Consider the following 12128-nt stretch of genomic DNA (forward strand, 5'->3'; position numbering starts at 1 on the left):
AAGCAATTCTCCTGCCTCAGCCTCCCGAGTAGCTGGGACTACAGGCATGTGCCACCATGCCCGGCTAATTTTTGTATTTTTTAGTAGAGATGGGGTTTCACCATGTTGGCCAGGCTGGTCTCGAACTCCTGACCTCGGGTGATCTGCCTGCCTCGGCCTCCCAAACTGCTGGGATTACAGGCGTGAGCCACCATGCCTGGCCTCTTTCTGCTTTCTTACCATGCCATATATATATATATATATATATATGTATATATATAAATATATACATATACATACACACACATACATATGTATACACATATACATATATATACACATATACACATATGTCTGTGTGTGTGTGTGTGTGTGTATATATATATATATATATATTTTTTTTTTTTTTTTAAATGGAGTTTCGCTCTTTCACCCAGGCTGGAGTGCAATGGCATGATCTTGGCTCACTATAACCTCCTCCTTCTATTTCAATCGATTCTCCTGCCTCAGCCTCCCAAATAGCTGGGATTACAGGCGCCCGCCACCATGCCTGGCTAATTTTTGTATTTTTAGTAAAGACGGAGTTTCACCATGTTAGCCAGGCTGGTCTCAAACTCCTGACCTCAAGTGATCTGCCCCCCTCGGCCTCCCAAAATGGTGGATTACAGGCGTTAGCTACTGCGCCGGGCTTATATATATATTTTTTTTGAGACAGATTTTCGCTCTTGTTGCCCAGGTTGGAGTGCAATGGTGCCATCTTGGCTCACCGCAACCTCCACTTCCTGGGTTCAAGTGATTCTCCTGCCTCAGCCTCCCTAGTAGCTGGGATTACAGGCATGTGCCACCATGCCTGACTAATTTTGTATTTTTAGTAGAGGCCAGGTTTCTCCATGTTGGTGAGGCTGGTCGTGAACTCCCGACCTCAGGTGATCCACCCGCCTCAGCTTCCCAAAGTGCTGGGATTACAGGCGTGAGTCATCGCACCTGGCCTATATATTTTTTCTATTTATTTATTTATTGAAACAGAGTCTCACTCTGTTGCCCAGGCTGGAGTGCAGTGGCGCGATCTCGGCTCACTGCAAGCTCCACCTCCCGGGTTCACGCCATTCTCCTGCCTCAGCCTCCTGAGTAGCTGGGACTACAGGCGCCTGCCAACACGCCTGGCTAATTTTTTGTATTTTTTTAGTGGAGACAGGGTTTCACCATGTTAGCCAGGATGGTCTCGGTCTCCTGACCTCGTGATCCGCCTGCCTCGGCCTCCCAAAGTGCTGGGACTACAGGCATGAGCCACTGCGCCCGGCCTTATTTATTTATTTTTGAGACGGAGTCTTGCTCTGTTGCCTAGGCTGGAGTGCAGTGGCACGATTTTGGCTCACTGTAACCTCTGCCTCCTGGATTCAAGTGATTCTCCTGCCTCAGCCTCCCGAGTAGCTGGGGCTACAGGTGCCTGCCACCATGCCTGGCTAATTTTTGTATTTTTAGCAGAGATGGGGTTTCACCATGTCGGCCAGGCTGGTCTCAAACTCCTGACCTCAAGTGATTTGTCCGCCATGGCCTCCCAAAGTGCTGGGATTACGAGCGTGAGCCACTGCACCCGGCCTGATTTATTTTTTCATCAATAAATTGAAGTCACAAACATATATGTGTCTACCCTGTAACTCATCACCTGGTAGGGTAACACTAAAAGTTAAAAGCTTTAGGCTGGACATGGTGGTTCATGCCTATAATCCCAGCACTTTGGGAGGCCGAGGTGGATCACTTGAGGCTAAGAGTTTGAGACCAGCCTGAGCAACATAGGGAGACCCTGTCCCTACACAAACAAACAAACAAGCAAACAAAATAAAGAAACAAAAATGTCTGGGCACGGTGTCTAACGCCTGTAATCCCAACACTTTGGGATGCTGAGGCAGGCGGATCACGAGGTCAGGAGTTCGAGACCAGCCTGACCAACATTGTGAAACCCCATCTCTATTAAAAATACAAAAATTATCTGGGCGTGGTGACACGCGCCTGTAATCCCAGCTACTCAGGAGGCTGAGGCAGGAGAATACCTTGTAACCGGGAGGCAGAGGTGTAGTGAGCTGAAATCGTGCCACTGCACTCCAGTCTGGGAGACAGAGTGAGGCTCTGTCTCAAAAACAAAACAAAACAAAAAAACAAACAAACCAAAAATTACTTTGCTTTTCTTTGTAACTCCACATCTTCTCCTGCTGTCAGGTATTATAAACAGTTTGCTGAATGAACCTTCCTTCAGTGGTTGCTCATGACCCAAACCATTCAGACTGCCTGATCTAGCATTAGAGGTTCTCTCATGATGAAGCACTACCTTATTTATACCTTACATTTTTTTTTTTTTGAGATGAAGTCTTGCTCTTTCGCCCAGTCTGGAGTGCAGTGGTGTGATTTTGGCTCATTGCAACTTCCATCCCCCGGTTCAGGCAATTCTCCCTGCCTCAGTCTCTCCAATAGTTGGGATTACAGGTGCCTCCCACCACGCCTGGCTAATTTTTGTATTTTTAGTAGAGATGGGGTTTCATCATGTTGGCCAGGCTGGTCTCCGAAGCCCTGACCTCAGGTGATCCACCTGCCTCGGCCTCCCAAAGTACTGGGATTACAGGTGTGAGCCACTGCGCCTGGCCCTATACCTTACATTTGATATGAATCCTTTCATTTTTAGATAAGCTGATTTACATAAAGTCATCCTAACATCATGCCTATTTCCACTTTCCACTTGTTAATCCTATTCTTTTATTTGGAATATCTTTCAATTCAACAAAACATCCAAACACTGTGCTACATGCTGGGAATGAAAGATAAATGAGACACAATGCAGAGCCTCACAGAGTGAATGGGGACTAGCAAGAAAATAGTAAATTATAATAGAAAAGCACAGGATATTCTAGGAGGCATGTGTTAAAACTTATTTGAATAGGGCTGGGGGCAGTGGCTTAACACCTGTAATTCCAGCACTTTGGGAGGCTGAGGCAGGAGGATTGCTTGAGGCCAGGAGTTTGAGACCAGCCTGGGCAATATAGGAAGATCACGTTGCTCTTAAAAAAAAAAAAAAAAAAAAAAAAAGGCATGATGGCATGTGCCTGTAGTCCTAGCTACTCAGGAGGCTGAGGCAGGGGGATTGCTTGAGTCTAGGAGTTTAAGGTTACAGTGAGCTATGATCACACCATTTCACTCCAGCCTTAGGCAACACAGCAAGACCCAGTCTCAAAAAAAAAAAAAAAAAGAAAAAAGAGTTGAACGGGTTGAACAAAAATGTTGCCTGACAAAGATTCCACAGTTATATATCAGATGAAACTACAGATATAAATGCAATCCAATAAGAATGGGACAATTATACAAATAGATAAACAGAATGGGGAAACCAGATTCAACTGGTGTAACTTACCTTTCTCCATACTGAAATCTGAATGGACCTGAAAGACTTTACTTGCTGGAATGTCTAGCAAAGTATTACTGAACTGTACATGGCACAGCATGAGGGTCGCTGGAAGAAGTACTTTTGTAATGGCCAAGGCCTGGTTTGGGGTACAGAATCCTGAAAAGCAGAAAAGAGGTAAATAGCTTTGTCACTAACAAGAATTTGTAAAAAGAGAGACCATTATATGGAGGCAATTTTGAAGCATAAAAAAAATAAGCAAGAAAGAGGGTCAGTTATGGCTGGTTTGCCCACCTCTGCTTCAATCAAGGTGAAAGAATAGTGTGAGACCCTCGCATTCTAATTTGTGAATGACTACAGTGGGGCTTCCATTATCAATGTCATACATAGGTAGTGTCTTTTTTCAAAGATTTTTTTTGAAAAATCTTTGAGATGAAGTCTTGCTCTGTCGCCCAGTCTGGAGTGCAGTGGTGTGATTTTGGCTCACTGCAACTTCCATCTCCCGGTTCAGGCAATTCTTCCTGCCTCAGTCTCCCCAGTAGTTGGGATTACAGGTGTCTCCCACCACGCCTGGCGTCAGTGGGAGTAAGATAGATTACAGGGAAGTTAGAAATCTATTAAAAATAGGCCAGGCGCGGTGGCTCACACCTGTAATCCCAGCACTTTGGGAGGCCGAGGCAGGCGGATCACCTGAGGTTGGGAGTTCGAGACCAGCCTGACCAACATGGAGAAACCCCGTCTCTACTAAAAATACAAAATTAGCTGGGGGTGGTGGCTCATGCCTGTAATCCCAGCTACTCGGGAGGCTGAGGCAGGAGAATTGCTTGAACTCAGGAGGCAGAAGTTGCAGTGAGCCGAGATTGCGCCATTGCACTCCAGCCTTGGCAACAAGAGCGAAACTCCGTCTCAAATAAATAAATAAATAAATAAATAAATAAAAATAAAGCAGTACAGTTGGGAGGTAGCTTTTAGGTCTAAGAGAATTTGTTTTTCATATACAATGTTGTAATACAATTACAATATAATTCAAGCCCCAAATCCCTAGAACTTCATCACAAGTGGTGCCTTAAGAGGAATCATATAGACAGCAAGAAGTGGACTGTTGTTATCATTGGGTCAGCTGCAATGAGTGGCATTCTTGAAAAATCTTCAGCAAAATCAAAGGGACTGATGCATGAGGTTTCTCAATAAAATAAGTAGTGATTTTAGAAAGATTCTGGGGAATAAAACGTCAGTCTGTTGGCCAGGCACGGTGGCTAGATTTTTTTTTTTTTTTTTTGAGATGGAGTCTTGCTTTGTCGCCCAGGCCAGAGTGCAGTGGCACAATCTCAGCTCACTGCAACCTCTGTCTCCTGGGTTCAAGCAATTCTCCTGCCTCAGCCTCCCGAGTAGCTGGGATTACAGGCACCCGCCACTGCACCCGGCTAATTTTTGTATTTTTAGTAGAGACAGGGTTTCACCATCTTAGCCAGGCTGGTCTCGAACTCCTGACCTCATGATCCATCCGCCTCGGCTTCCCAAAGTGCTGGGATTACAGGTGTGAGCCACCGCGCCTGGCCATCTCTATTTTTTTTTTTTTTCTGAGAGATGGGGTCTTGCTTTGTTGCCCAGGCTGGTCTCAAACTCCTGGCCTCAAGCGATCCTCCCACCACAGCCTCCTAAATAATTGGGATTACAGGCATGAGCCACCACTCCAGAGTACTAAAATTATCTTAAGTTTTTTTTTTTTTTTTTTTTTTTTTTTGAGATGGAGTCTCACTCTGCCGCCTAGGCTGGAGTCCAGTGGTGCGATCTCGGCTCACTCTAACCCCCGCTTCCCGGGTTCAAGCAATTATCTTGCCTCAGCCTCCAAGTAGCTGGGATACAGGCACACGCCACCACACCCAGCTAGTTTTTGTATTTTTAGTAGAGATGGGGTTTCACCATGTTGGTCAGGCTGGTCTTGAACTCCTGGTCAGGCTGGTCTTGAACTCCCGACCTCAGGTGATCTGCCTGCCTTGGCCTCCCAAAGTGCTGGGATTATAGGTGTAAGCCACCGCGCCCGGCCTAAAATTTGTATTTTTAAAACTAGAAAGACAATAGTGACTAGGATGAGCCTATTTTAAAACCTTAGTCTAGTCATAATTTCTGAGGTCTCATAGAGCTCTATGATTTATTTGTCAAGATGGAGTCAGTTTTGAAATAAAAAGAAAATCTGGATTACTAATCCAAAGGGATAAATGAATTGAGGGAAAACGAGAAAGATAGGAACAATCACTGAAACCATGAAGAGATTCCTGACCTTTAAGATTGACACCATTTCTGCCAGTGGTGATGAAGAGCTTGAATACAGTTGAATTGAGGGTATTGGTGAGATAAGTCTTGAGGTCATAACTGAGCATTAATCTTGATGATGCATTGACCACCACCTGTCAGCAAATCAAAGGAAAATCTGCACCTAAGTTCCTAGAGAATCTGACTCCTTCCAGATCCACCCCTCATAACTTATTTAACCAAAAGTATCTGTTTCACACAAGTACAGATTCCATCTCATGACCACATATTTGAGAACAACAAAATCTGTTTGCCTTTGAAGACAAAATAACTTTTTTTTTTTTTTAATCAGGGTCTTGCTCTGTCACCCAGGCTGGAGTGCAGTGGCATGATCATGGCTGACTGAAGCCTCAAATTCCTAGGCTCAAGCAATCCTCCTGCCTCAGCCTCTAGAGAAGCTGGGACTACACGTATGTGTCACCATGCCTAACCAACAAAAGACGGGGTCAGCCGCGCGCGGTGGCTCACGTCTGTAATCCCAGCACTGGGAGGCCGAGGCGGGCGGCTCACCTGGGGTCAGGAGTTCCAGACTGGCCTGACCAACATGGAGAAACCCCGCCTCTACTAAAAAAAACACAAAATTAGCCGGGCTTGGTGGTGCATGCCTGTGATCCCAGCTACTCAGGAGGCTGACGCAGGAGAATCGCTTGAACCTGGGAGGCAGAGGTTGCAGTGAGCCGACATTGCGCCATTACACTCCAGCCTGGGCAACAAGAGTGAAACTCTGAATCAAAAAAAAAAAAAAAAAACAAAGACGGGGTCTTGGCCAGGCGCGGTGGCTCAGAGCGAGACTCCAAAAAAAAAAAAAGACAGGGTCTCACTATGTTGCCCCAGGTGGTCTAGAACTCCTGGCCGCAAGCCATCCTTCCACCTTGGCCTCCCAAAGTGCTGAGATTACAGGCATAAACTACCATGCCTAGCCCAAAATAACATTTTTTCTAGAAGGAAGTCTTGGGTCCAATTATTCCTTCAGACATATCTTCCCTTTGTATGACTCCCTATTAAAATGCCTTTGAGGCCAGGTGCGGTGGCTCATGCCTGTAATCCCAGCACTCTGGGAGGCTGAGGCGGGTGGATCACTTGAGGTCAGGAGTTTGAGACCAGCCTGGCCAGCATGGCGAAACCTCACCTCTACTAAAAATACAAAAATTAGCCAGGCATGTTGGAGCGTGCCTGTAATCCCAGCTACCAGGGAGGCTGAGGCAGGAGAATTGCTTGAACTCGGGAGGCGGAGTCTGCAGTGAGCTGAGATTGTGCCATTGTACTCCAGCCTGGGCGACAGAGTGAGACTCCATCTCAAAAAAACAAAACAAAACAAACAAACAAAAACAAAAAAAACACACAAAAAAAACAACTGCAACTTTCTTCAGGACATTTTCTCTTTGTCTCTAGTTGCACATAATCTCAATCTTTTCTGAAACTTCAAAGTACATTGTTTTTTCTCAAGAATACTTGTACTATTCTGCCTTATATTGTAAGTTTTTTTGTTTGTTTGTTTGTTTGTTTTGAGACGGAGTCTTGCTCTGTCACTCAGGCTACAGTGCACTGGCGCAATTTCGGCTCACTGCAGCCTCTGCGTCCTGGGTTCCAGCAGTTCTCCTGCTTCAGCCTCCCAAGTAGTTGGGATTACAGGCACGTGCCACCATGCCTGGCTGATTTTTGTATCTTTAGTAGAGATGGGATTTCACCATGTTGGCCAGGCTGGTCTCGAACTCCTGACCTCAAGGGATCCACTGACCTCGGCCTCTAAAAGTGCTGGGATTACAGGTGTGAGCCACCATGCCCAGCCCTTAATATTTTAAATTTAAATGCAATATACTCTACATTCTCCTTAGTATTACCACAGGTTTTTTAAATTCAAGAACCTTAAAACCCAAGTTAGTTACATTAATGGCTTAATAAAGAAAGGAATTTTGTCTTTTTCATATTTGTATTTCTGGAGGCCAGCACAATGCCTGACACTTAATAGGCTTTAATGAGTATCTGCTAATTAGTGAATATTAAATGAGGATTCGATGAAGTACACAAATTAGAATAGGAATGACCTTTGGACTTCCCTGTAGCATCTAACACCACAACCATTTCCTCCTTTGCCTTCTATGACACTGTTTCTCTTTGCTTTTCTGGTTCCTAATCCCTTCTCAGTCTCTTTTTCTAGTACTCTTTTCATGCTACCTCTGTCCTTGAACCTCTTATCTGCTTATAATACAAGTTCTTTTTGGATGTTATCCAAATTTTCCCTCTCTACCCTTATTAATTTTGTATTGAAGTTGCCCTGATTTATTCATTAGTCTTCAAGCACAACATGTACTTTTATTTGCCTATTGTAATTATTTGTGCCATGTATGTAATTGTTTATGTCACCACTAGACTATGAGCTCCTCAAAAGAAGGCACCAGATACCATGTGCACACATATTGAGTAACTTACTCATCTATAAAGTTGGGGCCGGGTGCAGTGACTCACATCTGTAATCCCAGCGCTTTGGGAGGCTGAGGCAGGCAGATCATTTCAGGCCAGGAGTTTGACACCAGCCTGGCCAACATGGCAAAACCCTGCCTCTACTAAAAATACAAAAATTAGCTGGGTGTGGTGGCACACACCTGTAGTCCTAGCTACTTGGGAGGCTGAGGCACGAGAATTGCTTGAACCTGGAAGGTGGAGGTTGCAGTTACCAGAGATTGTGCCACTGCACTCCAGCCTGGGCAACAGAGTGAGATTCTGTTATAAAAATAAATAAATAAAATAAAACAAAGTTGGGAAAATACTTTTTTTTCTTCAACTTTTATTTTAAGTTCCAGGGTACATGTGCAGGATGTGCAGGTTTGTTACATAGGTTAATGTGTGCCATGGTGGTTTGCTGCATAGATCAACCTATCACCCAGGTATTAAGCCCAGCATCCATTAGTTATTCTTCCTGATGCTCTCCCTCCCTCCATGCCCCACATATTTATTTTGCAGAGTTAAAAGTGATACAATTAAAAGTGATAGGTGTACTGGATGTTAAAAAAAAAAAAAAAAAAGACTGGGCTAGATGTGGTGGCAAACACCTGTAATCCCAGCACTTCGGGAGGCTGAGGCAGGTAGAACACTTGAGCCCAGGAGTTCGAGATCAGCCTGGGCAACAGGGTGAAACCCCATCTATCCAAAAACACAAAAAATTGGCTGGGCACAGTGGCTCATGCCTGTAATCTCAGCACTTTGGGAGGCTGAGGTGGGCAGCTCACTTGAGGTCAGGAGTTCGAGACAAGCCTGGCCAACATGGTGAAACCCTGTCACTACTAAAATACAAAAATTAGCTGGGTGTGGTGGCAGGTGCCTGTAATCCCAGCTACATGGGAGGCTGAGGTAGGAAAATTGCTTGAATCCAGGAGGCAAAAGTTGCAGTGAGCTGAGATTCCGCCACTACATTCCAGCTTGGGCAACAGAGTGAGACTCTGTCTCAAAACACACACACACACACACACACACACACCCCACAGAATTAGCCGAGTGTGGTGGTGTGCACCTGTGGTCCCAGCTACTCAGGAGACTGAGGTGGGAGGATCACTTGAGCCTAGGAGGTGGATCTGAGTGATCTGAGATCACACCACTGCACTCCAGCCTGGGTGACACAGCAAGACCCTGTCTCAATAAATAAATAAATAAATAAATAAATAAATAAATAAATAAATAAATAAAAATAAAAAAAATAGATGGCTAGGTGCAGTGGCTCATGCCTATAATCCTAGCACTTTGGGAGGCTGAGGCAGAAAGATGACCTGAATCTAGGAGTTTGAGACCAGCCTGGACAACATAGCGAGACCCTGTGTCTGCAAAAAAATAAAAATAATTAGCCAGGTATGCTGGCACACACTTGTGGTCCTGCTACTTTGGAGGCTGAGGCAGGAGGATGGCTTGAAACCAGGAGTTTGAGGCTGCAGTGAGCCATGATTGCATCATTGTATTCCAGCCTGGGCAACAGTGAGACACTGTCTCTTAAAAGAAAAAAAAAAGATGAGAAGTGCCAAGCCCATAGTAGATACACAAAAAGTTGTAGCTACCATGTTTGAGGAATGAAAAAAGAGGATCAAAGAAGTGCTTTGGGCAAAGAGGAAGGAGACATTACATATATTTAAGAAGGGAATAGAAAATATTTCATTAAAAAAATCCCTTTATTGTTTACCTATCTCACCTACTCAAGAATATTACTCCCTCCAGCAATCCTCTGACTTACATCAAATTTTCTGTTTCCACTGAATCATTCCCAATCCACTATTTCTCTCATAAAAAAAAAAATCCACAAAACAAACTCTTAACCCCAACTCCTTAAAAGAGCTTTCTATATTCACTGTCTCCAAGTCCTTTTCTCCAATTCTCCAATCAAACATTCATTCAGGTCACTCTGTCTGGGCACAGTGGCTCACGCCTGTAATCCCAGCACTTTGGGAGGCCGAGGCAGGCCTATCACTTGGGCTCAGGAGTTCGAGACCAGCATGGGCAACATGGTGAAATGCCATCTCTATCAAAAATACAAAACAAAACAAAACAAAACAAAAAAATTAGCTGGGCATGGCGGCATGCACCTGTAGTCCCAGCTACTAGGGAGGCTGCAGTGGGAGGATAGCTTGAGCCCAGGAAGCAGAGGTTGCAGTGAGCTGAGATCACACCACTGCATTTCAGCCTGGGCAACAGGGCGATACTCCATCTCAAAAAAAAACAAAAAAACACGCACAAAAAAGCCTGGGCGCAGTGGCAGCTCATGCCTATAATCCCAGCAATCTGGGAGGCGGAGGCGAGCAGATCACATGAGGCCAGTAGTTCGAGACCAGCCTGGCCAACATGGTGAAACCCTGTCTCTACTAAAAATACAAAAATTAGCTGGGGGTAGTGGCACGTGCCTGTAATCCCAGCTACTCAGGAGGCTGAGGCATGAGAATTGCTTGAACTCAGGAGGCAGATGTTGCAGTGAGCCAAGATTAAACCATTGCTCTCCAGCCTGGGCAATAGAGCAAGATTCTGTCTCCAACAAAAAAAAAAAAAGGGGGGGGCTCAGGTCACTTTGCTGAAGCTACTCAACAAAGTCACTAGCACCAGTCTCCATACTGCAAAAACCATCAGTCATTTCTCAATTTTCAGCTTAACCCATTAATAGTAATGATGGTTGATCACTCCCTCTTTCCTTGAAATACTTTCTTCATTTGCCTTCCAGGATACACATATCTCTAGATTTTCCTCCCATTTCACTGGTTGTTTCTTTCTTTCTTTTTTTTTTTTTTTTTGAGAGAGTCTTACTCTGTTGCCCCGGCTGGAGTGCAGTGGTGTGATCTTGGCTCACTGCAACCTCTGCCTCCTGGGTTCAAGCGATTCTCCTACCTCAGCCTCCTGAGTAGCTGGGATTACAGGTGTGTGCCACCACGCCCAGCTAATTTTTGTATTTTTAGTAGAGACGGGGTTTCACCATGTTGGTCAGGCTGGGTCTCGAACTTCTGACCTTGTGATCCACCTGCCTTGGCCTCCCAAGGTGCTGGGATTAGAGGCGTGAGCCACGGCACTAAGCCTGGTTGTTTCTTATAAGTCTTTCTTATTGGTTCTTCTCTCAGAGCTCCCTTTTTCCCTTTTGTTTCTTTCTTTTTCCATTTGCCACTAATCAAAAGGCAATCAGAACTCTTAAGATTGAAGTGCTCCCAGAACTTAGTACTTAGGTCTTTTTTCTCTTTTTTTTTCTTTTTTTTGAGAGCGACTCTCACTCTGTTGCCCAGGCTGGAGTACAGTGGCTTGATGTCAGTTCACTGCAACCTCCACCTCCCAGGTTCAAGAGATTCTCGTGCTTCAGCCTCCTGAGTAGCTGGGACTACAGATGTGAGCCACCAGGCCCGGCTAATTTTTGTATTTTTAGTAGTGATGGGGTTTCACCATGTTGGCCAGGCTGTTCTCGAACTCCTGACCTCAGGTGATCCTCCCACTTTGGCTTCCCAAAGTGCTGGAATTACAGATGTGAGCCACCGCGCCTGGCCTTTTTTCTATTTTACATTCATTCTTTGGTGATCTAATGGCCTTAAATATCTCTATTCCAATGACTCCCAGACTTTTATATCCAGCAACCTCAACATATCCAGTTGACATTTAATAGACATACCCAATTTTACATATCCAAAGATGACTGCTTTTCCCTCCAAGACTGTTCCACCTACAGTCTTCCCCATTTCAGTTGACGGTAATGCTGTCCTTTCAGCTGTTCAACCAAAAACCTGAATCATTCTGGATTTTCTTATGTTCTAGATATAATCTGTGAGGAAACTCTATTGGCTCTACCTATAAAATATACCTAGAATCTGATCAACTTCTTATCACCTCCTCTGTCACCACCCTGATCTGCCAACATATGTCACCTGGATTACCGCAGTAGACTCCCAAATGGTCTTTCAACTTCTACCCTGGTGTCTAGTGTCTAGTGCCAACCAGT

The 12128-nt window shown here is 44.8% G+C and overlaps 1 protein-coding gene across 8 annotated transcripts in view, besides 1 other annotated feature; it reads right to left on the reverse strand.

Moving 5' to 3' along the window:
* The window catches only part of NUP210L (nucleoporin 210 like), a 162427-nt gene that overhangs the window by 13903 nt on the left and 136396 nt on the right, over positions 1-12128 (reverse strand). For all 8 annotated transcript variants that reach the window (XM_011510122.2, XM_011510123.2, NM_001159484.1 and 5 more), the window contains 2 exons: positions 5652-5778; positions 3380-3529 (listed from right to left, as the gene is read on the reverse strand). In XM_011510122.2, coding sequence (XP_011508424.1) covers positions 3380-3529; positions 5652-5778 — 277 coding nt within the window. The remainder of the gene's footprint in view (positions 1-3379; positions 3530-5651; positions 5779-12128) is intronic.
* Positions 607-868: a silencer, noted in NCBI's record as "fragment chr1:153979675-153979936 (GRCh37/hg19 assembly coordinates)". NCBI's record gives its function as "represses an EF-1alpha promoter that drives an FKBP-Casp9 reporter gene in an ReSE screen in K562 erythroleukemia cells {active_cell/tissue: K562}" and the evidence as "EXISTENCE:reporter gene assay evidence [ECO:0000049][PMID:32094911]".

The sequence above is a fragment of the Homo sapiens genome, chromosome 1, assembly GCF_000001405.40.
Source record: "Homo sapiens chromosome 1, GRCh38.p14 Primary Assembly".
In the NCBI taxonomy this organism is placed as follows: Eukaryota; Metazoa; Chordata; class Mammalia; order Primates; family Hominidae; genus Homo; species Homo sapiens.